Source organism: Homo sapiens, chromosome 17 (genome assembly GCF_000001405.40).
Source record: "Homo sapiens chromosome 17, GRCh38.p14 Primary Assembly".
Classification (NCBI taxonomy): Eukaryota; Metazoa; Chordata; class Mammalia; order Primates; family Hominidae; genus Homo; species Homo sapiens.
The window spans coordinates 19017601-19039528 of record NC_000017.11 but is presented as its reverse complement, the minus strand read 5'-3'; the positions used below and the strand labels follow the sequence as shown (position 1 = coordinate 19039528).

Genomic DNA, 21928 nt, shown 5'->3' with positions numbered 1-21928 from the left:
GGGCCTGGAAGTTCAAGTAGATGTCTGCCAGGGAAGGCAGAGACAAGCCTGGCAGGGGGATGTGTGGGGGGAGCAGCAAACACCCGCGTACGAGCAGCTCATGCATCCTCCCAAGGCCCTGAGAGCTGAGCACCACCATCGCCATCTTTGAGATTAGCAGACAGAGGCACAGAGAGGTTGAGTGCCCCCCCAGGATCTCACAGCTGGCACGAGGTGGAGCGGGACTGCAGCCGTGTGGCATGGCCCTGGGCTGGGACACCCTGGAGGACAGCGGGGAAGCTCATAAGAACAGCTGTGGGACTGGGAGAGTCCCAGGCCATGCACTTGCTATGCAATCTGGTGGGGTGTGGGGGCGTCTCTGCCCCTATCTGGGCCTCGGTTTCCACATCAGTAAAACAGGAATGATGCGAGATGGCCACAAATGGAGTGACACTGGTGTGGGGGAAGGAGCCGGGCCCTGGAGTTTCAGGAAGTGCTTTCTTCTTGCCTCCATCCGTCAAGCCATGGTGGGGGCAGGGCTGGCAGGGGACGTGGGAACTCCTGGGAGGGTGTGATTGCGATGCTCTCTGAGGGCAACAGCCACCCACACACTGATGCCGCCTGAGGAGTTTTGTGGGTTCTTCGAAGAAACCTGCCCCCTCAGGAAACTCCCGCCCTGGGCCACGCTGGGCACTGTTGCGGGACGGAGCTGGGGGCTTCCTGGTGGAGAAGCTCTCTGCAGCTCCCCTGCCTGGTAACCCCAACCCTGGGCCCCCTACGCTCCCCTCCTGCTGCAGCCTGTGGCATTCACCTCTGGCCTTGAGACACCCAGGCTGGCTGGGCACCTGCCTTCAGGTCTCCAAACCCCAGAAGACCCAGGCTGAGCTCTCCGGATGGTTGCCCTGAGCCCTATACCCAGCGGCTACCTTCCCCACGTCCCCTCCCAGAAGGAAACTCGCTGGGACAGGGGCCGAGGGGCCCCCATTCGTTTGGGGGCAGCAGTGGTCTAGAATCTCATGTCTAGGAGTTCGGGTTTCTCCGGAAGCCGTCCCTGAGACACGAGCCTGATAACAAGGAATTTATATAACAGTGGAGAAGAGGACAGGGAAGTGGGGGAGCCAGTGGGGCAAACTGTTGGCGTCATCGCTGCTGGGGGTAACCGGAGCTCCATCTGGCTGGGGACCAGGGCCAGCTGGAGACAGTACAGAATGCGCACCTAGGAGTCATGCCTCCGGAAGGCCAGGCGCTGGGGCGTCTACCCCTCTGCTCCATCAGTCACCACTGGGAGTCAGACTGTTCCTGGGAGCCTCAGCCTGCCCTGAACCCAGGCCAAATATGTCAATCACCAGAAAAAAGGCCCCGAGGTCTGTACTGAGCAGCCTTCATCCTGCCAAGGCCGGCGCCGGGACATGGCCAGGACACTAGCGGCATGTGCAGCACCGCACGCCTTCTGCACTCAGCCCCGAGGGCTCATCAACATCCGAAACAACAGGAAAAGCCCCGCCTGGCTTCCACCACCTGTGCCGAGCTCAGTCTGACTCAGGGAGAGGAGCATTTATGGAAGGAGTGAAGGGGAACATTCTGTCATGGTGCCACCACGAGACCTGTGGCTGCTCTGGGCCTCAGTTTCCCCATCCGAACAATAAAGGGGTCAGAGCCAAAGCTGGGCTAAAACACTGGAGTTAGGAAAGCCAGTCAGAGACCACACAGCCCCTCCGATGGTGGGTGTTCTAGTCCTGCAGGCTGCTGTCACGGAATGCCATCCACTGGGTAGCTTATGAACAACAGACATTTGTTGCTCACTGTTCTGGAGTCTGAAGTTCAAGATCAAGGTGCCGGCAAATTCACGTCTGATGAGGCTACTTCCTGGTTCACAGACGGCTGTGTCTTTTAGCTGTGTCCTCACATGGCAGAGAGACAAGTGAGCTCTCTGGGGTCTCTTTCATAAGGGCACCAATCCCATTCAGGGGGACTGCTAATCACCTCCCAATGACCCCACCTTTTACTGCTGTCACATGGGGGATTAGGTTTCAATATTTGAATTTTGGGGGACAGAAAGTCAGCCTATAGCAGTGGCAAATTCCTGAAGAGGCCGGGGGCTACCAGGAGCTACCAGGAGCCACACAGCAAGATAAGCAGGACTGGAAAAGGAGTTTCACTCCCAGACCCTGGGGATCTTGCAAGAGTCTAAGCATTTACCAGGCAACTTCTGCATACCCAGTTCTGTTTGGTCAGCAGCAAAAGGAACTTGTGCCTGTGAAAAAAATTCAGGTGGCCTGAGACTGTGGAATGGATATTTCCTCACCATATCAAAGCTACTATTATTTTTGTCATGTTTTTATATTTTCGACTTAAGAAGTTTTTTTTTTTTTGCCGGGTGCGGTGGCTCACGCCTGTAATCCCAGTACTTTGGGAGGCTGCGGTGGGCGGATCACGAGGTCAGGAGATCAAAACCATCCTGGCTAACATGGTGAAACCCTGTCTCTACTAAAAATACAAAAAAATATGTATATATGTATATTAGCCGGGGCGGTGGCACACACCTGTAGTCCCAGCTACTCGGGAGGCTGAGACAGGAGAATCACTTGAACCCAGGAGGCGGAGGTTGCAGTGAGCTGAGATCATGCCACCGCACTCCAACCTGGACGGCAGAACAAGACTCTATTTTTTAAAAAAAGTGTTTGTTTGTTTGTTTTTGAGACGGAGTCTTGCTCTGTCACCCAGGCTGGAGGACAGTGGTGCGATCTCGGCTCACTGCAAGCACCGCCTCCTGGGTTCATGCCATTCTCCTGCCTCAGCCTCCCCAGCAGCTGGGACTACAGGTGCATGCCGCCACGCTCGGCTAATTTTTTTGTATTTTTAGTAGAGATGGGGTTTCACCGTGTTAGCCAGGATGGTCTTGATCTTCTGACCTCGTGATCCTCCCGCCTCGGCCTCCTAAAGTGCTGGGATTACAGGCGGGAGCCACCGCACCCGGCCAGAAGTATTTTTTTAAGGAATGGGGGTGGGAGGTTCTCTATTCCCCAGGCTGGTCTCAAAGTCTTGGCCTCAAGTGATCCTCCCATCTCAGCCTCCCGAGTAGCTGAACTACGGTCACGCACCACCGAGCCTGATTTATTTTTTGACTTTAAAGAATCTACCATCTCAAAGGGAAAGTTAGACTGAGGTTGGCTGGGGTGTGGCTCACTGGAGTGTGACTTTTCTGTTTCCATAAGGGTATGTGTTTGCTGGCATGGTAGGAGAGGCTGGCCTCAGGAGCTAAAATGCTGGGATTGTGTTCCAGCTCCTGCCTGCCTCTGCTGTGTGATTGTGGGTGTATTGCTTCACCTCTCTGTGCCTCAGTTTTCCCATCTGTAAAATGGGTGCAATCACATCTCCCTTGTCTCAGACCTTGAACACCTGGCACGGGGTGGGAGGCTGGCTGAGAGCCTGGTCTCACACTGCCTTCACCGGCTCCCTCTCTCCGCAGGTGGTACTCGGGCAGGATTTCCCGGCAGCTGGCCGAAGAGATTCTGATGAAGCGGAACCATCTGGGAGCCTTCCTGATCCGGGAGAGTGAGAGCTCCCCAGGGGAGTTCTCTGTGTCTGTGAAGTGAGCTCTGGCCCTTGGGGGTGTGTGCAGAGGAGGGTGGGCGGGGTTGGGCAGCATTTGAGCTGAGCCTTGGGGCCCGGGACGGGCTCACGGAGTGAGGGTGGAGGAATGGCATCCCTGCAGAGGGAGCAGTCCGGGCAGAGGCCTTCCGGACACAGGCGGTGGTCTGGGCACCCCAGGGTGCAGCCCAGAGCAGTGGGGTGTGTTGGGAAAGCAGGATCAGGCCAGCTGTGCAAGGCCTCAATGCCAGGCTGAAGGTCCAGGCTTCTACGAGTATAGGAGCCATCATAGGTTCTTCATCAGGAGAGGGCGATGTCCAGGGTGGTGATGTGGCAAGAGATTGAGGGCAGGAGAGTGCTGAAACGCCCAGGGCGGGTGTCCAGGATGTGCTCCGCACAGGGTCCCACTCTATGTGATATAGTTGGGAAGATGCACCCTGAGGCCAGGCTGCCTGGGCTCAAATGCTAGTTCTGCCACTTCCTGGCTGTGTGAGCTTGGGCAAGTCACTTACCTTCTCTGTGCCTGTTTCTTCACATGTAAAATAGGCTATTGCACGGAAGAAACAAGTTGGTATATTTAAAGCAATTAGAATAGTCCCTGGCATGGAGGCAGGGTGGCCGTGCTGGGGAACATCTGGCATTGTATTAGGGCGGCCCTCAGCTGTGGTGTGGCAGCCTCTGGGCAGCACAGAATCCAATCCTAAAGGGCCACCCTGGAGTGATTGAGGAATCCAGGCTGGAAAGTAGCAGCAGGAATGGGGGTGGGGGTAGACAGGGTCAGGCTCCTAGTTAGTCTCTGTCCTTCCTACTCTTAGGCCTTGGTAGAATCTAGATGCATTAATTCAAGGAATATTTATTGATTAGGTGCCATGTGCCAGGATGCTCTAGGGGCTGGGGAAACCAAATGGGAAAAAAAACAAAGTTGCTGCTGTCGTGGGTTTCAGTCTTTGTGAGTGAACAAGAAAACATGTTAATACAGAATGAACCAAGGTGGTCAGGAAAGGGCTCTCTGAGGAGGTGGCCTTGCAGCAAAGATCTGAACTAGGAGGTGGAGGCTTCCCAGGTGCCCAGGAATGAGGAGGACCTGGGAAGAGAGGCTTCTAGGCAGAGGGAATAGCATTTGCAAAGACCCTGAGGTGGGAATGTGATTGGGGCATGTAGGAGCCCGGAGGAGGTGACGTGGCTGGAGCAGAGTGAGCGAAGGGCAGGGGCTGGAGTTCCACCCACATCCAGTGATCACAGAGGGCCTGAAAGGAGGTCGGGTTTTCTCTCAGAGCAATAGGGAGCCATGGAGGGTCTTGAGCAGGGGAGAGATGTAATTGGACTCCATTTTTAGCAGATGACTCTGAGTGCTGTGAGGAGAAAGAACTGTTGGGGGAGAGCGTGGTGGCAGGGAGGCCCGTGGGGAGTCAGGAGGGAGATGATGGCCTCTGGGACTGTACGGGTAGGGGCTGATGAGGGGACACAGAGAAATGGTTGGGCCCAGGCATGGAGGTGTGCGGGGGGACCACCAGCAGTACCAGCTCTCAGGGCTGCTGTGGGCACAGAGCCCGGAATGGAGGAGGCGCTTACCATGCCAGCTCTTACTGCCACCAGCGGAGCTAGCACTGGGGTGGTAAAGAGTCCAGCCGGGAGGAAGGGATGAAGGAAGGGGTGGCCCCAGAGGAGGGCAGAGTGGCCTCTCATGATCTCCTAAAGGATGAAGGCCAGGTGTGGTGGCTCACGCCTGTAATCCCAGCAGTTCGGGAGGCCAAGGCGGGTGGATCACTTGAGGTCAGGAGTTTGAGACCAGCCTGGCCAACATGCTGAAACCCCGTCTCTACTAAAAATACAAAAATCAGCCAGGCATGGTGGCGCACGCCTGTAATCTCAGCTACTCGGGAGGTTGAGACATGAGAATCATTTGAACCCGGGAGGCAGAGGCTGCAGTGAGCCGAGATTGTGCCACTGCACTCCAGCCTGGGTGATGGAGTAAGACTCTGTCTCAAAAAATAAAAATAAAAATAAAAATAAAGGACAAAGAAATACAGGCCTGGGTCGATAGCTAACACTGGGGCTGGGTGTGGAGATGCAAGCTTGATGGGGCTTGGAGTCAGGGGGTCCCAAAGAAGCAGACAAAGGCAGACTCAGACAGGCTGGGCCAGGAGCCCATGAGGGCTCCTGCTGGGGGAAAAGCATTCCCACCCACCTGATGCCTTCCAGGCTCTGCCGGGTCCCTGTGACTCCCATGTGTTCAGCCGGCCTGTTTTGAAACAAGCTCAAGCTGTTCACTGTGTGGGATCAGCACGTCTGCTGCTAGCCCTGCAGGGTGGCGAGCTCCCCTGAGCCTGGAGGCACCCGCAAGGAATAGGAGCCTATGGTCAGGAAGGCGGCTCTAGGGGTGTGTTCGTCCATTTAGTGTTGTGATAAAGGAACACGTGAGGCTGGGTAATTTATAAAGAAAAGGCGTTTATTTGACTTGGTGTTCTACAGGCTGTGTAGGAAGCATGGCACCGGCATGTGCCTCTGGTGAGGCCTCAGGAAGCTTTTACGCATGGTAAACGGGGAAGGGGATCCGGCGCATCACATGGCGAGACGGGGGCAAGTCGGGGAGGGAGGTGCCAGGCTCTTTTCAACAACCAGACCTCAGTCATTACTGCAAAGAGCCACTGATGAGGGTCTGTCCCATGACCCAAACACCCCCCACCAGGCCCCACTTCTAACACTGGGAGTCACGTTTCAGTGAGAGATTCGGAGAGGACAAACATCCAAACCATACCAGGGAGGCAGATCCAACGTCTCAGGGGTCACAGCCCCCCACATTCACCCTGAGCCCGGGCGCCCAGTTGGTGGAACCAGCCATCAGCCTTGTTCCCTTCCCTTTTCTCCTGGGGGCAGGCTGGTGATCCTGAGGGGCAGGAACGCGCATGCCCCCTCTGAGCCTCTATTTCCCCATCTTAAAAATGCGAGTGCTGTCAGCATGTGCGTGTGTGCGCTTGTGTGTACTGGGGGTTTACTGTGCGTTCTTGGCCCTGACTGCCCACCCCCGGGATGGTGTGGGCACCTGGAGCCTGGAGTCCCCGCGGGCTCACCCCCCACCCCCCCAGCCCAGCCACCACTTCCCTGCAGCCCCGGGGAGCTGCGGCTCCTGCGGAGGCAGGACGTGGCAGTCTTCCAAGTGTCGGCTGTCCAGGGCCTGGTCATCTCCTGGGAATGGCGTCCGCCAGGCGGGCTGGCCTGGCTGAGTGGCTCCTGGAACCAACCCCAAAGCCCAAGGTCACCCAGCAAAGTGGGGGCACAGGGGACTCAAACTACGTCTGGAGCCCGAGTTGAGGGGGAGGGGCTGGCCCTCCCTCCGCCCTCCGGCTTCCTCCTCTAACAAATCACGCGGCCTCACTCTCCAAGTTAGCGCCCCAGTGTGCTGCCCTCTTCAGGCGTCTCTCTGTAAGTGCAGCCACCTGCGCACACGCACATGATCAGACCTGAACACCCCAGCCTTGTGAGTTTGCTCAGCACGCATTTATTGAGCATCAGCTGTGTGAAAACCACAAGGCAGGACTGAAACAGGAGACAAACCAGAGGCATGTGAAGGGGAAATGGTCACAGCCTGGCCCAGGGGTCTCTATGATGAGCAAATGAATAAATGAAATTCAATGACAGTGGATACATTCCACATAGTGAAGGCACCAGGGAGGAAGTGACATCTGAGTTGGGCTCTAAAGCATGAGTAGGATTTTGGCGCACAAGGAGAGTAGATGATATGCCAGGCACAGGAAACAGCATGAGTAGAGATCTAGAGGTGGGGAAGCGAGGGGTGTGTTTGGATAACAACGTGTTTTCTGACCAGGAGGGAAGATGGACAGTCTTAGGGAGCAGTTCTTGAGCAGGCGAGCCAGCACCGGTGTTTCCTGGGAAGGGATCTGGAAGCGACCCTCAGAGAAATCCTGGCCTGTGCCCCCGAACCTTTTGTCCAAGGCATACTGGCCAAGTGTGCCCAGGTCAAAACTGTCAGGAGCTTCCTGGGCTTGGCTGGCTGTGGGTTGTACACAGCACCAGCAGGTGGAGCCCTTGACCCTTGGCTTCTTCCTGCCTGGGCCCAGGCTCCTGGGTCCTGCTCCCATTCTGTCCATCATCTGTCATGGGGCCTCTCAGTGGTCCTTGGACAACCACCAAGCAGGGGTCAGAGTTGGAAGCTGAGACTCAAATGGGGCATGTGGCTAAGAGCATGGTATTTTGAGCAACAGTCAGCTCTGACACCTGCTAGCTGCTCGCTGTATAATCCTGGGCAAGTTACCCCTCTGAGCCTCAGTTTCCTCATTTATAAAATGGACAGCTATGTAACGTGTTTTTTATGATGACTGGCACATGATAAGTGCCAGTTATCATAATTATATTAAGGCTCCAAGGACTGCACACCAAGCTGGGGAGGAATTAGGGAGCCCCTCCTGGCCTGGAAGGCTGCCCCCCACCCCCGGCCCATGAATCCAACACTCTTAGAGAAGAGGCAGCAGCACAGGGAGTCAGGGAACCCAGATGCTGGGAAGCCGGGTGACCTGATGGCCACCTCGGAAAATGACAGCCTGGCAGATTTGTGTGTAAGAGCTCTTCCACCCTTGCTGGTTGGTACTTGGGAACTCTGATGGCACTATGCATGGCATCTCTGGCATACTCACACCAAGCCCTGTAAAGCTGTCAGAGGTGGGGTTTATGGGCCTCATGCTGCCTCCTAGAGCAACTGTGGCCATAGCTAGCTGCCCTTTATGAGTTTACAAAGGGCTGTCCCCCTCCTCCTCCAGGGAGCATGTCTGAGCTGGCGGGCAGCGGGCCAGGGGCCAAGGCTGGCGTGCAATGTCTGGGCTGCCTAACTTTTGCCCCACACTCCTATCCAAGCTACTGTGGACTCTTCTGCCATAAATGACAGTTTGTCTCCAAGTGACATATTTGCCTCCTTTCTAGCCAGAGGTACCCTGGAGTCAATGCACATGTGTTTGCCCTGCCCATCTGGTCACTGAACCCCTGCTGTGTGCCAGCCCTGTCCCAGGGCCTGGGGATTCAGCCAGCAACAAAATAGGGCAAAGCTCTCTGTCCCTCAAGTGCCCATGTGCTACTGGGTGACAGACAATAAGTGATTAGGAAATTGTATAAAATCTTACACAATGACCAAGGCTTTGGAGAAAATGAAGCAGGGAAGTGGTGGAGGGGGGGTGCAATTTTAGGAGGAAGGGACTGGCTGCAGGCAAGGACAGGGAGGAAGTGAGGAGACCTGCCTGATCCCCAGAAGCCCAGCTTGCAGGTAAGGAAACTGAAGCCTGGAGAGGTGCAGCAACTTCCCCAAGGTCACACAGCGAGGAACTTAGAGCTGGTGCCCACCGACCTCTGTGCCCTGACAGACCTGGTCTGTCCTCCACCCACCCTCCCTGAGCTCCAAAGACCCAGCAGGAGTCTGTCTGCACCAGTGTCCTGCCCCTCCCAAGCTCAGCTTGACTCTGGTTCCTGTCTGCTGCCGAACAGGTTGTTCCACCCCTCCTTTTCACAGATGGGCAAACTGAGGCCAGAGAGGGGCCATGCCTGATGGAGATCGCCCAGCGGGCAGTTAGCACCCAGGTGGGTCCACACGTCCACAAGCCCTGGTTGGGGTGGTGGAGGGGGTGTCCTAGGGCTCCTGCCCCCACCCCAGCCTTGTTTTTCCTCTCTGGGCTGACACTGTTACCTTTGCTGCTGCTGCTGCTGCTGCTGCTGCTGCTGCTGCCGCCACCAGGCCAGAAAAACTCGCTGGGCAGGACTGGCTGCTGCCAGCATTAGGCCTGACTTGGTCCTTGGGGCTTTTCTGACAGCCCAGGGGTCAGCCTAGCCCCTTGTTCCCCTGGGTAGGTGGATGTAGGGGTCACACAGAGAGACAAAGATACTCATGATTGCTCAGTGAGAGACTCACACATAACAGTCACTCCACACAGTGGGAGACACACACAGACACACACACACAAGCATCCCAGGAATGCACACTCAGACACAATGGAGACGCTCTCACACCCCCGGCACTGCCCACTGAAGTGAATGGCTCCAGCAGCCTCTCCTCTCACCAACTCAGGCCCACAATCCCAGTGCCCCCTCCCTCCTCTGGCTCTGGGAGGCTCATGCAGCAGAGCCGGCTGCACTGGATCCAGCCCTCCCGGTTCCGGGGCCATCTGGACTCAGATTCAGTTCCTCCTGCAAGCCCTGAAGTTCCCACAGGCCTTGGGAAGGGGAGTGGAGATGAGGTCTGGAGAGGCCCCAGAGGGTAGCCCCAGTCTGGGGGATTCTCAAATGCTTTGAGGCTCCACCTGGGCCTTGAAGGATGGCTAAGGTCAAGACTAGACAGAGAAAAGGGAAAAGGCATTATTTCTGGTGAGGGCCATGAGCAAGAGCCCAGCCAGGCTAGGGAAAAGGGCCAGGCTGGGAGAGGGAGTGACAGCTGGGATGCTGGGCTGTGAGATGACAGAGACAGCACCGCTTGGCCTCAGGCAGGGGCTGGCTCAGCAGGAGGGGCTGCACCCAAGCCTCACTGTCCTCTGCTGTAAAGCAGGACATTTGGACCAGGTGGGAGAAGGGGCAAGATTTGCCATTTACTGAGCACCTAGTATGTGCCACACACAGACTAGGTAGGGGCTGGCACATGCACGTTTCCCAGATTTGAGAATTCTCCAGTTCCCAGGTTGGAAAGCCCTAGAATCCCTGGGTCCCTGGCTCCCTTTCCCTTATCTCCTGTTCTCCACTCCCTGACTCTACTATATGATCAAAGAACTGCTCCAGATAACGTTCTATCTGCTCTAGATAACTTTCCAAGTATCTAAAGATGAACTTCAAATACCATAAAATTCAAAGTTGTGGTCGTTTGGGTTTGAAATCATTTTCAAACCCACCACACCCTTTCTGTCCCCTCACCCAGAGGAGTGGGGCCACCTGTATGCAGGCCCCTCCTCGGGGCCAACAGGGAGTCAGGGCCTTCTGCCTGGGTACCCGGTGCCCCAGAGGTGGAGCCACTGGGATCCCTGTCTCCAGGCTTCTCGCCTGCCCAGCTGTGGGTCACCGTCACTCCACTGCTTGAAGCAGTGCTCCTCCCCAGGCACCACGGCCAAAGTTCAGTAAACCCTGGGCTGGTTAGCACGTGGCACTAGGGAGTCATGGGGCTCAGAGGCTGCCTCTCGGAAGCCTCTGGGAGGCTTCGGAAGGCCAGACAGGGCAGGAGACACACATCTGCCTGCACACCCACCTCCGCGTCACGAGCACATGAACTAGCTCTCTTTCTGGCTGTGTGACCCTGAGGGCTGGATGCATCTTAGAGCAATGGGTTGGCCACCGGAGCCTGGGTTCAGGGTCAGAACACCTGGTGGGCTGCAATCCCAGTTCAGAACCAACAGAAGTGGGTTTCAAGAACAAAGCATCGCAATGAGGACCTAAGACCTGGAAAGTGATGCTCTGTTTGCTGAGTCCCAGCTAGACTGGACCTTCAGGGCCCACTCCTGCCTCCCTGCCTTTTTAGTGTCTCATATGCAAGTCATTTTGAGTAGCAAGTTACAAGAAGGCTATGAGAGGGGCTGAGGGATCCAAGAAGGCCCTGACTGCGTGATGGGGTCTGATGCAGCTCTCACAGGATGCGCCATTTTACCTGGGCCTTGAGGCATGAGTAGGAGTTCAAGAAAAATTCCTTCCAGTTGGAGGAAATACTGTGTGCAAATGCCTGGAGGTGTATTTAGAAGTGGTTTGGGGCTGGGCGCCGTTGCTCACACCTGTAATCCCAGCACTTTGGGAGGCCGAGGTGGGCAGATCACCCAAGGTCAGGAGTTTGAGACCAGCCAGGCCAACATGGTGAAACCCTGTCTCTACTAAAAATACAAAAATTAGCTAGGCGTTGTGGCAGGTGCCTGTAATCCCAGCTACTAAAAATACAAAAATTAGCTAGGCGTTGTGGCAGGTGCCTGTAATCCCAGCTACTCGGAAGGCTTAGATGAGATAATCGCTTGAACCCAGGAGGCGGAGGCTGCAGTGAACCGAGATCGCACCATTGCACTCCAGCCTGGGTGACAGGGCGAGACTCCGTCTCAAAAAAAAAAAAAAGGGAGAAGTGGTTTGGACCCCTTGACTGTAATGGAGTAGGGGGAATCCCATTTTGCCCTACGCCTCATACAGACCAGAGGGTGGGAAACTTGAACACATCTTTATCTTAAATCTTTCATCTTAAAACATCAATAAGGAAGGAAGCCACCCCAGGGATGACTGGTGGAGAAACTCAACCACAGGCAGGGATAGGACAGATGGAGCAGCAGATCTGGGCAGCTGGGGTGACAGACACCACCCTCTTGTTCAGGAGAACCATAGACCTGAAGGAACTCAGGCTGTGGGTGAACCCAAGCTTGCAAATGTATTGCGACCAAATTGTTTAACCAGATTTCAATTTACAACCCAGGAGAGGTAGGGGTGTGTGTGTGTGTGTGTGTGTGTGTGTGTGTGTGTGTGTGCGCGCGCGCGCGCGCATGTGTCCCATCAAGGCATCAAGTGCTTTGGACTGGTGGTTGGATCTCATTTAGCCCAAATGTGAACAAAAAGATCCCTAGCCTGTGGCTCAGGAGGCTGAGGGGCTATCTACCTCCCAGTGGCCATCCTGTGCCCCTACCCTGCCTCACCCGGCTCACAGGGCCCCAGGCTTTCCCAGCTATTAGCTCCGCCAGCCACCTGAACAGGTGCCCTCCCTCGGGGTCCTAAACTGTCTTCTTTCTGGTTGGGAGCTGGGACTGTTCTGTGTTCTCCCCACAGCCCCTAGCCCAGCCAGGTGGGCCTAGGGTGGCTCTGTTGGCAGCACCCACACAGCCCCCAGGGTCCCAGGCCTCTCAGCTCCCTTGCAAGGAGTGCACTATCGCCCACATTTGGCAGGCCAGGACGCAGAGGCCCAGAGAGGTGGGCTGGGGTCTAAGTCCAGGCAGGCTGGCTATAGAGCTGGGAAGGGTAGCTAAGGTTTGGCCAGGCAGAGAGGATGAGGCAGGGAGGGAGGGCCTCCTGGGGGGCACAGCCCAGGTAGCAACATGGCAAAGTAGAAATGGACTTGGAATGATGAGCTCTGGAACAATAGTAATAGCATAATTGGAATAATTATTATTGCTATTGTTATGTGATAATAACCAATCAGGAGGGCATTAGGCAACGTTTTACATGTATGAGCTCAAATGTGGCCCCAGCTCTGACCTTTCTTGCTGTTGTGGCTCTGGGCAGGTCGCGGCTGCACTCGGGGCCTCAGTTTCCCCACTGGGGCATGAGGATTTCAAGAAAAATTCCCTCTAGCTGGAGGACACTCTGTGTGCAAATGCCTGGAGGTGTGTTTAGAAGTGGTTTGGACCCCTTGACTGGAATGGAGTAGGGGGAATCCTGTTTTGCCCTATGCCTCATACAGATCAGAGGGTGGGAACCTTGAACACATCTTTTTTTTTTTTTTAGAGACAGAGTCTTGCTCTGTCGCCCAGGCTGGAGTGCAGTGGCGCGATTTTGGCTCACTGCAACCTCCACCTCCTGGGTTCATGCCATTCTCCCGCCTCAGCCTCTGGAGTAGCTGGGACTACAGGCACCCGCCACCACGTCTGGCTAATTTTTTTTTGTTTTTTAGTAGAGATGGGGTTTAGCCAGGATGGTCTCGATCTCCTGACCTCTTGATCCGCCCGCCTCGGCCTCCCAAAGTGCTGGAATTACAGGCATGAGCCACCGCGCCCGGCCTTGAACACATCTTTATCTGAAATCTTTCATCTTAAAACATCAATAAAGCAGCAAGCTGCCCCAGGGATGACTGGTGGAGAAACTGAAACATAGGGCCCAATTTGCTCCTCCTGGGCCGTGAGGCAGGCCAGCCACCCCCGAAGCACAGCGGGGCAGCGCTGCAGTCATGTCTGCCATGATCTTGACCCACAGCTGCACCGCCTCCAGTCCCAGCCCCACAAGGCCTGTCCTGGGTGGACACGCCGAGTGTGAGAGGTTCCAGTTAGTTCCTCTGCCCAGTCCCAGCCAGGACAGGCTCTGCCTCTGGCCAGTTTGAAAGAGCAGGCTCGGCTGGGTGCGGTGGCTCACGCCTGTAATCCCAGCACTTTGGGAGGCTGAGGCGGGTGGATCACGAGGTCAGGAGTTCGAGACCATCCTGGCTAACACGGTGAAACCCCGTCTCTACTAAAAATACAAAAAAAATTAGCCGGGCGCGGTGGTGGGCGCCTGTAGTCCCAGCTACTCGGGAGGCTGAGGCAGGAGAATGGCGTGAACCTGGGAGGCGGAGCTTGCAGTGAGCCGAGATAGCGCCATTGCACTCTAGCCTGGGTGACAGAGCGAGACTACGCCTCAAAAAAAAAAAAAAAAGAAAAGAAAAAAGAAAGAGCAGGCTCTCTCCTCCGCTGGGCTAGAAGGTACTTGGGGCGATTTGGCGATAGTGGGCTGGCTGGAAGGCTGGGCACAGACGGGAAATGAGAGAGAAAAATCCGTGGCTGGGCGCAGTGGCTCACGCCTATAATCCCAGCACTTTGGGAGGCCGAGGAGGGTGGATCACAAGGTCAGGAGTTTGAGACCATCCTGGCCAAGATGGTGAAACCCCGTCTCTACTAAAAATACCAAAAAATTAGCCGGGCGTGGTGGCGGGCACCTGTAATCCCAGCTACTCAGGAGGCTGAGGCAGGAGAATGGCATGAACCTGGGAGGCGGAGCTTGCAGTGAGCCGAGATAGCGCCATTGCACTCTAGCCTGGGTGACAGAGCGAGACTCCGCCTCAAAAAAAAAAAAAAAGAAAAGAAAAGAAAAAAGAAAGAGCAGGCTCTCTCCTCCGCTGGGCTAGAAGGTACTCGGGGCGATTTGGCGGTAGTGGGCTGGCTGGAAGGCAGGGCACAGACGGGAAATGAGAGAAAGGGGCCTGCTTGCTTCATCGGAGAGGATATAAAGTAAATGAAGCTGGACATGTAAGTGGAGCCAGATCTTGAGTCTGAAGTGTTAAGAGTTTACCCTGAGGCCAAGGGAGAAGCCACGGAAGGTTCATGGGAGGGGGAGGACGTGAGACATTCAACAGGTCTGAGCTCCTCTCATAGCAGTAGGCTTTGGTCTGAGTCAGGATGAGTCTAGGACTTGCTCCCCAAGGGACTCTGGGGCATGGGAGGAGCAGGGGAGCAGGGAGTAGGTCCAAGCTGAGGGGAACAACAAAGAGATGTGAAGGAGATGCTCTCTGATCACGACACACTCAGAGGTACCCATTTCACGTTGCCAATATGCCAGTCACTGTGCACTTATCCATAACGGAGATGTTATCATTATGAGAAAACTGAGGTTCAGAGAAGTTGAGAGACTTGCATGAGGTCACACAGTGAGAAAGTGGCCTGGTTCAGAGCCCACACCCTTAAATTAACCCCATATTCCACTGCCAGATGGGACTCCCCAGACCCCATGTGGAGCTGGGTCAGTGGGGCCTCTCCCACTTGCACCTTATCTGACTCCAGGTCCCACCGTGAGACAGGCTGGTTCCAGGTGGTAGTGAGACGGGAGCCCCTGGGACCATGCCAGGCTGGGACGGCCACCACCTGAGGTGGCCCCGGGTCCTTTCCCCTAGCTATGGAGACCAGGTGCAGCACTTCAAGGTGCTGCGTGAGGCCTCGGGGAAGTACTTCCTGTGGGAGGAGAAGTTCAACTCCCTCAACGAGCTGGTCGACTTCTACCGCACCACCACCATCGCCAAGAAGCGGCAGATCTTCCTGCGCGACGAGGAGCCCTTGCTCAAGGTAGGGGCGGGTGGGGGCTGGCCTGTGGGAGCCTCTCTGCACCTCCTGCCATCTGCAGCAGGGGAGATGCTGACACTGAGGCCAAGCACGGGCCTGGTCTCACTTCCCCAGCAGCCTGGTATTGCAAGAGGCGTCCAGCCCAGGCTTCGAAGTTATATCCTGGTGGCGGCTATGGTGAGACTTGCAAGGGTGGGAAAGGAGAAGAGGGAAAGAAAAGCAAAGGACAGAAGGAAAATCCCATGGGGACAAACTGTCTAGCTTGTTCTCAGCTCCTAGAATAGCATGTGGCACACAGTAGGTGCTCAATAAATGTTCATTGAGTGAAGGAAGGTACAGACCCCCACTGAGCATACTGGGTACCATGCACTGAACTGGTCTCTGTACTCTGGGAGCCTCATCATGCCCATTATACAGATGAGGAAACCGAGGCTCAGAGAGTGCAGTGACTCATCCAAGGACACTTACCTGGTAGGCTCAGTCCTGGTTTCTGCTCGCGGAAGAGTTGACCTTGGGTGTGGGGCAGCATGAGTGCTGGTGGGCGAGATCCTGGCAAGCCGCGGGGTGGGGGGTGGGGGGTGGGGGGTCGGGGTCATCCACCCCTTGACCTTGCAATAACAGCAATTTGCCAGCCAGCCCTTTCATCAAGGAGCCCCAAGGGCCAGCTCTGAAGCTGATTGGGATGCCAACAATAGCCACTGGGGTTATTAGCCCCAACAGGCTGTTTTCTTCAGGAGCGGGGATGCTGGCAAGGCCTGGGGCTGGAGGTCAAGACCCTGGGACACTTGAGCTTGGGCTCTGCAGAGGAGATGGGGAGTGTGGCCAAGGCCTGGGGAGAGGCTGATAACCGCTGAAGAGAAGCTCCAGCCAAATCTTGTTCCTAGCACCTCCCCACCACCTTTCCATGTGATCAGAGGCCAGTTCATCCCCTCAGTGTTCCCTCTGTTCAGTAGGATGAGCCCTGGGGTCTGATATGCCAGGGGAGTCAAACAGTGCCTTGAGAGACCCCCACTAGTTTCTCCTCTGTTGGCCTTCCCTGCCTGACCCTGAGTGCCCAGGTCACTGTGAGCTCCCAGCCTCAGGGCACTTTTCTCTCCAGCTGGGCTCCTGTCTGCCAGATCTCCATCCTCCTCCCTGTTCACCACCTGGGCCAGCTCTGCCTTGGAAGAGTGTGAGGAAGCCAGGATGGAGCTAGGGCAGGGGCAACTGAGAGCTCCCCTACACCCAACACCTCGCTCTGGCCCGGGCCGTGGGGTCACCCACCCTGTGGCTCGACTCCAGAGCTGCCTCAGTCCCCTGGGACCTATGACGCCTCCTCCTTCCTGGGCAGAGAGCTGCTAATTACAGCTTCTCTGCTGATCCTATCACCCATCCTGGATGAGATTCTGCAGATTCAGAGCTGAGATCTTGGTGGGCAGGCAGGGCCAGGGTGCTGGGTGCAATAGTCACGGTGCCAGGCAGATGTGCTGCAGAGAGCTCCTGTCCTGCTGCCATTCACAGGTGGGGAAACTGAGTTCCACAAAGGGCAGGGACCTACCCAACATCACACATGGGGCATAGATAGGAGTGGAGCCCAGGCCTGAGAGCTCAAAGTGACAATTCTCTCCCTCAACGGCTGACCAAGGGCAAGAGCAATAAACACGACTCTTAGCTGCACGTCACTTTACAGTTTATAAGGCCCATTCTCATGGCTTTGTGGCCTGGAGTCAAAAGCTACCATGGCTGCTGCAGAGTCGGGTAAATAAGATCCCAAGAGAAGCAGGGACCTAACCAAAATCCCACCCTAAGGACCAGGACTCAGGTCCCCTGACCCACCAGCCCTATTGTCCCAGCTGGGCGGCTGGGAAAGCCGTGTTCTATGTAGATGCAGCATCTGCACAGCAGACAGGCAGGGGTGTGGGCAGCAGGAGGCCCAGTGGTGGCACTACCATTGATCTGGACTTAAAGTTCAACTCCGGTGCTGCCCGAGACCCCTCCTCACCTGTGGCAAATCACTTCTCTTGGGTGCCTCTGAGGGAGGGTGGGTTGCAGGGCTTCTGAAGGCACCCTACTAACCACCTCCTCTTCTTGCAGTCACCTGGGGCCTGCTTTGCCCAGGCCCAGTTTGACTTCTCAGCCCAGGACCCCTCGCAGCTCAGCTTCCGCCGTGGCGACATCATTGAGGTCCTGGAGCGCCCAGACCCCCACTGGTGGCGGGGCCGGTCCTGCGGGCGCGTTGGCTTCTTCCCACGGAGTTACGTGCAGCCCGTGCACCTGTGAGCAGCCCGGCGGCCGATCTGGCCAACGGGCCTTTTTACAGGAACTGAGGTCCAGAGAGGACATGGACACCCCCAGCTCTGTCAGAGTCACACGGGGCTCAGTGGACGGCCTTGGACTGAACGTGGGCTCCTAACTGCCTCCGGCCGCTCTGCACAAACTGGGATGGCCCAGGTCCCCCAGCAAGGGTACCCAGCAAGGGTAGCTCCGGGGCTTCCTGGCTGGTTGCTTTCCATTGGCTGCCAGCTGTGTGACACCACAGGGCGGAGTCTGTGGAGGCCCCGCCCACCTCCTCTTGTCAATGGCCCCATCTGCCAGGAAGGTTGAGGACTCCCAGGTTTCACCCACTGGAGGCTCAACCTAAGGAACCCTGGCCATGGTGGGTGGGTTCACCTTGGGCTGACCACCCACTGGGCCTGCCTGCCCCTCCCTCAAAAGGCCCCTGGAGTTGTTCAGGCTGTTGGGAGGTGGCTCAGCCTCGAAGGACAGACTGCACACCTGTTGACCTAAACTCACTGGACAGACTCCAGGTGGACACCAACTCCTCAACAGCCCCATGACTTCAGCTCCACCTGGGGCACCCAGCACCCCACCACAGGGCTAGAGGCCCTAAGACCCTGAAAAAGGGGCGGGCAGTAGGGAAGGTGGAGGCACACTCCTCTTCTGTTGGACAGGTGAGCTCTGAGGGCAAGCCCTGGGCCCAGCCACGCAGAGACCCTGGCTGCCCTGGCTCTTGTTTGTTTAGGCCCAGGTTCTGCCCAGACCGGGGCCCAGCAGAGCTCTCAGGAGGCTGAGAAACCTCCAGGGCAGACAGAAAGTTGGGGCCAGAGCTAGGTTTTAGAGATCCTACAGGATCCCACATGGGACGGCTACCTAGGTGGGGCACGGCCCCTACCCGAGAACAGGAGGGTCCTCCAGAGAATGTGCCATGATCAGGGATATGAGCAGGGCCTGCCCAGAGCCTGGGCACCTTTGGGAGAGGGAAAAGTGAGGTGGGACTTGGAAAGGCTTTGAACGCCAGGCTGATGGTTGAGGGATGGTGGGCAGGGAGGGAGGGCGAAGAGGCTCCCTCTGGCATTTGGGAGCCGGTGGGTGGAGGGAGGAGCCCTTGGAGGTGGCTGCAGTCCCTTAATGGGGGGCCTTGCTCTGGGCATGTGGGGCTCTTCCTCCATCCAGAGCTGGCCCAAGACCCTTAGAACCCTGAGTGCTGGCAAATCTCACTGCTCCTGACCCAGCCTGTGTATTCAAAACGAAAACAGTAAAACCAACATCAGGATGTCCGTCAGAAATCTAATTTTCCTTCCAATGCTGACTGCTTTGGTGCTGTTTTTGAAATGTCACATTATTTTCTCCCATTTCCCCCCTAATTTTTCAGGGCTCCCGCTTTGCTGGCTTGGCCAGTTCTTGGGCACCGAGCTGCTGTGCAGCTGTGAGGGGAATCTGCCCCTCTTGGGGCCTCGGGATCCCCATGAGGGAAATGGGTGGACCTGAGGACTCAGAGCTCCTGCCTTTCTGTCCAGGATGGCAGTGTCAGGCGAAGTAGGCATAAAAGAATATGTTGACACACATGAGGAGGATGGCATTGAAGCCACAGACACGGGCCCAGAAGGCGTGTTTCTGGGGTGTTTGGCCATCACCTGGAGGGGGTTGCAGAAGGAGAGGGACAGATGAAGGACACAAGGTTACACCTGGTGCCCTTGCCTCCAGGCCAGGGTCAAGGTGGAGGAGTGCCTAGGGTCATCCACTTACCTGCTTTAGTTCCCAAGGGCACATCCTGAGCCAGGGTCCACCAGGTAAGGTTCTCAATCTGTAAGAAATGAGTGAGGATAGGGTTGGGGGTGGGGGATGGCAGGGTGGGGGTGACCCAGACAGGATCAAAGGTTGGGGATGGCAAGATGGCAGCTGAGTTCAAAAAGGGACGGGGCTAGGTAGTCCAGGGCTAGAAAATTCTGAGTCAGAGTGGGTCGGGGATGAGAATGGGACCAGAGTAAGAAATTGTTAGGGGTCAGGGTCAGGGGTCAGGGCTGGCTCACCTGGACACTCTGTGGGGGTGGGGTCAGCAGGCTTCCAGCCACCACAACAGCACCACTGAGTGCAAAGAGGGCGACAGCGAAGTGCAGGTAGTGGATGCTCCCCAGGACGGCTGGCCGCGTGTCTGGCTCTCCGCACGGTGGGGCTGGGTTCAGGAATTCCAGGACCAGCCTCGTGGCCCCCACCACCAGCCCTGCTATCAGGCCCCAGAAGGCCCCCTGGGGAGGAGGGAGGCAGGGCATGTGGGGCTACGGGAGGAGGACCAAGGCTCCCCCCACAGGCAGCAGGGAAGAGCAAATTGTGGCACGTCCCCAGGGAGAGCAGACCGCCGACGCCCACCTGCTCGTTGGCACGTCGCCAGAAGACGCCCAGGACAAAGACTGCAGTCACTGGTGGGGCCAGGGAGCTGGTCACTGACTGCATGTAGATGAAGAGTTGCCCGCTGTTGGAGTCCTGCAGGACGGGGATCCAGGCCACACTCACGCCGATGAGTGCCACTATGACCAGCCTGCAGGCGAGTGGAAGGCAGGCAGCGGTCGTCGTGGGAGGCTCTTCAGCTCTCTCCCACCTCCCCTGGTCACTAAGACTTGCTCTCTAATCTTTCCCCTGCTACCCCAGCTCCAGCCTCCTCCCTGGACTCTGGTCCACACCACCAGTGACCTGGCCAGTCCTGCCCTGCTCCAAACCCTTTGGTGGCTCCCTGGATCCTGCAGGTGCAGCTCCTGACTCTAAGTGCTGTCTGCTCCTTCCCTGCCCTGGGGTCTCTGCGGAGCCAGCCCTTGGAGCTCCGCCATGGAGCTCCCTCTTGTCTCTCCTTCAAAGCACCTGTCCCAGTCACTACATGCACATTTACCTGGGTGTCTACTTGTTTACTGCCTGTCTTCCCCTCCCAATGGAAGCACCAGGAGAGCAGGAGCCTCATCTCTTTAGTTCATTGCTGTGTCTCCCAGCATATAGTAGGTGCTTACTAAGCATTTGGTGAGTGCATGAATGACCACTGCCCCCCGATCTGGGCCAGACTGACTTCCTGGTGGTTATTTGAAGACACTAGGATTTTTCACACTGGCCGGCATTTGTGGGAGCTGGGACCTCTGGCTGGCACATCCCCACCCCGACAGCCCTGTGCTGCACATCCTTCACAGGGCAACCTGCTTACTAAGGATGCAAAGTTTGGAGCCAGAGGTGTGGGTTGGGGTTAGAGCCCATACTCCCCAGCTGTGAAGCCGGAGCCCTGCTGGGCCAGCATGAGCCCGTCCCCTCCTGTCCCCTGCGTGTCAGCTCCTGCCTGCCTCTCCCTTAGGCCAAGAGCCCCTCTACAACAGGCACATGCTACACTTGTTCATCCAACAAACCACTGGTGAGGTGCTCACCTGCGTAGGACACTACCCTAGGATCCCCAACTCGGCGATGAGTGGGACCTGGTGCCTGCCCAGCACTCAGAGTCCAGCAAAGAAAACAGATGAGCCTCTTACCTACACTCGGACTGGGCTGGAGCAGCTCAGAGGAAACATCAATCTAGGAGGGCTTTCAGGAGGAGGCACCCCCTCCCCGAGCCTTGAGGGGCATGGGACCCAGCTAAGGGGATGAAGCTGGGGCATGGCATCCATCCGCTCCTCCCTGGCTGAGCACCTCACCCCTGTGTCCTGGGTCAGTTGGCATTCCTCACCCCCAAGGTGGGTGGTGGGTGACCCGCTGGAACCCTGGCTGTGGTGGCAGGGGTGACAGAGGCTATGTGTTCAGCTAGGGTGGGTCCTCTCAGCGCCTGTCCGCCTTCCTCCCTCCCTTTCTTCCCTTCTAGGCCTGAGGGAGAGGGTGGAGGAAGGAGGTGCCACCTTGATTAAGGCTAATTAACCCCTAGCCAGGCAGGCAGGCGGGCGCTGCCCTCATCAAAGGCCCAGGCGGGCCTCCATTAACGCCTGCCCACCCCGCCCTCTGCACACAGCTCTCCCGCCCAACACCAGACTCTGCATCTCTGTGCCAGGGCTGGGGCCACTCCAGCCAGGCCCTCGCTTTCTTACCCAGCCTTCTTACCTGGCTGCCAGAGGACCCCCAAACCCAGAGGCTGCTCCTTCTGCCTGGAATGCCACTCCCTCCCATGCCACCATCAGGGTGGATAGTGCCCTCCAGCATCTCCCTGGGCTGCAGCCACAGTTACTGTGGAACATCTCAAGGAGGGGTGTCTGAGATCTCTCCGAGTCCTGCACAGGGTTTCCAGGAGGCTGTGGGCCCCATTTACGGACTGAACAGCCGGGAACACAGACAGGGGAGAGTGGGGCAGGGGGGCAGTGGCGGAACAGTGGACTGAGGTGTGGGGGCTTGGGGCAGGCATA

General features: G+C 56.8%; 2 protein-coding genes across 11 annotated transcripts in view, besides 4 other annotated features; one reads left to right on the top strand and one right to left on the bottom strand.

The window, feature by feature from the left end:
- GRAP (GRB2 related adaptor protein) overlaps nt 1-18873 on the top strand; it is a 30718-nt gene extending 11845 nt beyond the window's left edge. For 2 of the 5 annotated variants that reach the window (XM_047435154.1, NM_006613.4), the window contains 3 exons: nt 3449-3571; nt 15146-15314; nt 17385-18873. In XM_047435154.1, the coding sequence (XP_047291110.1) occupies nt 3449-3571; nt 15146-15314; nt 17385-17570 (478 nt within the window). In that variant the 3' untranslated portion in view covers nt 17571-18873. The other 3 variants (XM_047435155.1, NM_001330148.2, XM_047435156.1) reach the window with 2 other exon arrangements.
- Nucleotides 5624-6373: an enhancer, noted in NCBI's record as "H3K4me1 hESC enhancer chr17:18936469-18937218 (GRCh37/hg19 assembly coordinates)". NCBI's record gives its function as "activates a minimal SCP1, AML or CMV promoter by ChIP-STARR-seq in naive H9 embryonic stem cells {active_cell/tissue: H9 hESC(naive)}" and the evidence as "EXISTENCE:reporter gene assay evidence [ECO:0000049][PMID:30033119]".
- Nucleotides 6374-7124: an enhancer, noted in NCBI's record as "H3K4me1 hESC enhancer chr17:18935718-18936468 (GRCh37/hg19 assembly coordinates)". NCBI's record gives its function as "activates a minimal SCP1, AML or CMV promoter by ChIP-STARR-seq in naive H9 embryonic stem cells {active_cell/tissue: H9 hESC(naive)}" and the evidence as "EXISTENCE:reporter gene assay evidence [ECO:0000049][PMID:30033119]".
- Nucleotides 7959-8756: an enhancer, noted in NCBI's record as "H3K27ac-H3K4me1 hESC enhancer chr17:18934086-18934883 (GRCh37/hg19 assembly coordinates)". NCBI's record gives its function as "activates a minimal SCP1, AML or CMV promoter by ChIP-STARR-seq in primed H9 embryonic stem cells {active_cell/tissue: H9 hESC(primed)}" and the evidence as "EXISTENCE:reporter gene assay evidence [ECO:0000049][PMID:30033119]".
- The window catches only part of SLC5A10 (solute carrier family 5 member 10), a 71890-nt gene continuing 66925 nt past the window's right edge, over nt 16964-21928 (bottom strand). For 5 of the 6 annotated variants that reach the window (XM_017024191.3, NM_152351.6, NM_001042450.4 and 2 more), the window contains 4 exons: nt 19938-20106; nt 19601-19816; nt 19317-19374; nt 16964-19204 (listed from right to left, as the gene is read on the bottom strand). In XM_017024191.3, coding sequence (XP_016879680.2) covers nt 19098-19204; nt 19317-19374; nt 19601-19816; nt 19938-20106 — 550 coding nt within the window. In that variant the 3' untranslated portion in view covers nt 16964-19097. The remainder of the gene's footprint in view (nt 19205-19316; nt 19375-19600; nt 19817-19937; nt 20107-21928) is intronic. The other variant, NM_001282417.1, reaches the window with a different exon arrangement.
- Nucleotides 17899-18048: an enhancer, noted in NCBI's record as "active region_11848". NCBI's record gives its function as "activates an Ori minimal core promoter by ATAC-STARR-seq in GM12878 lymphoblastoid cells {active_cell/tissue: GM12878}" and the evidence as "EXISTENCE:reporter gene assay evidence [ECO:0000049][PMID:35858748]".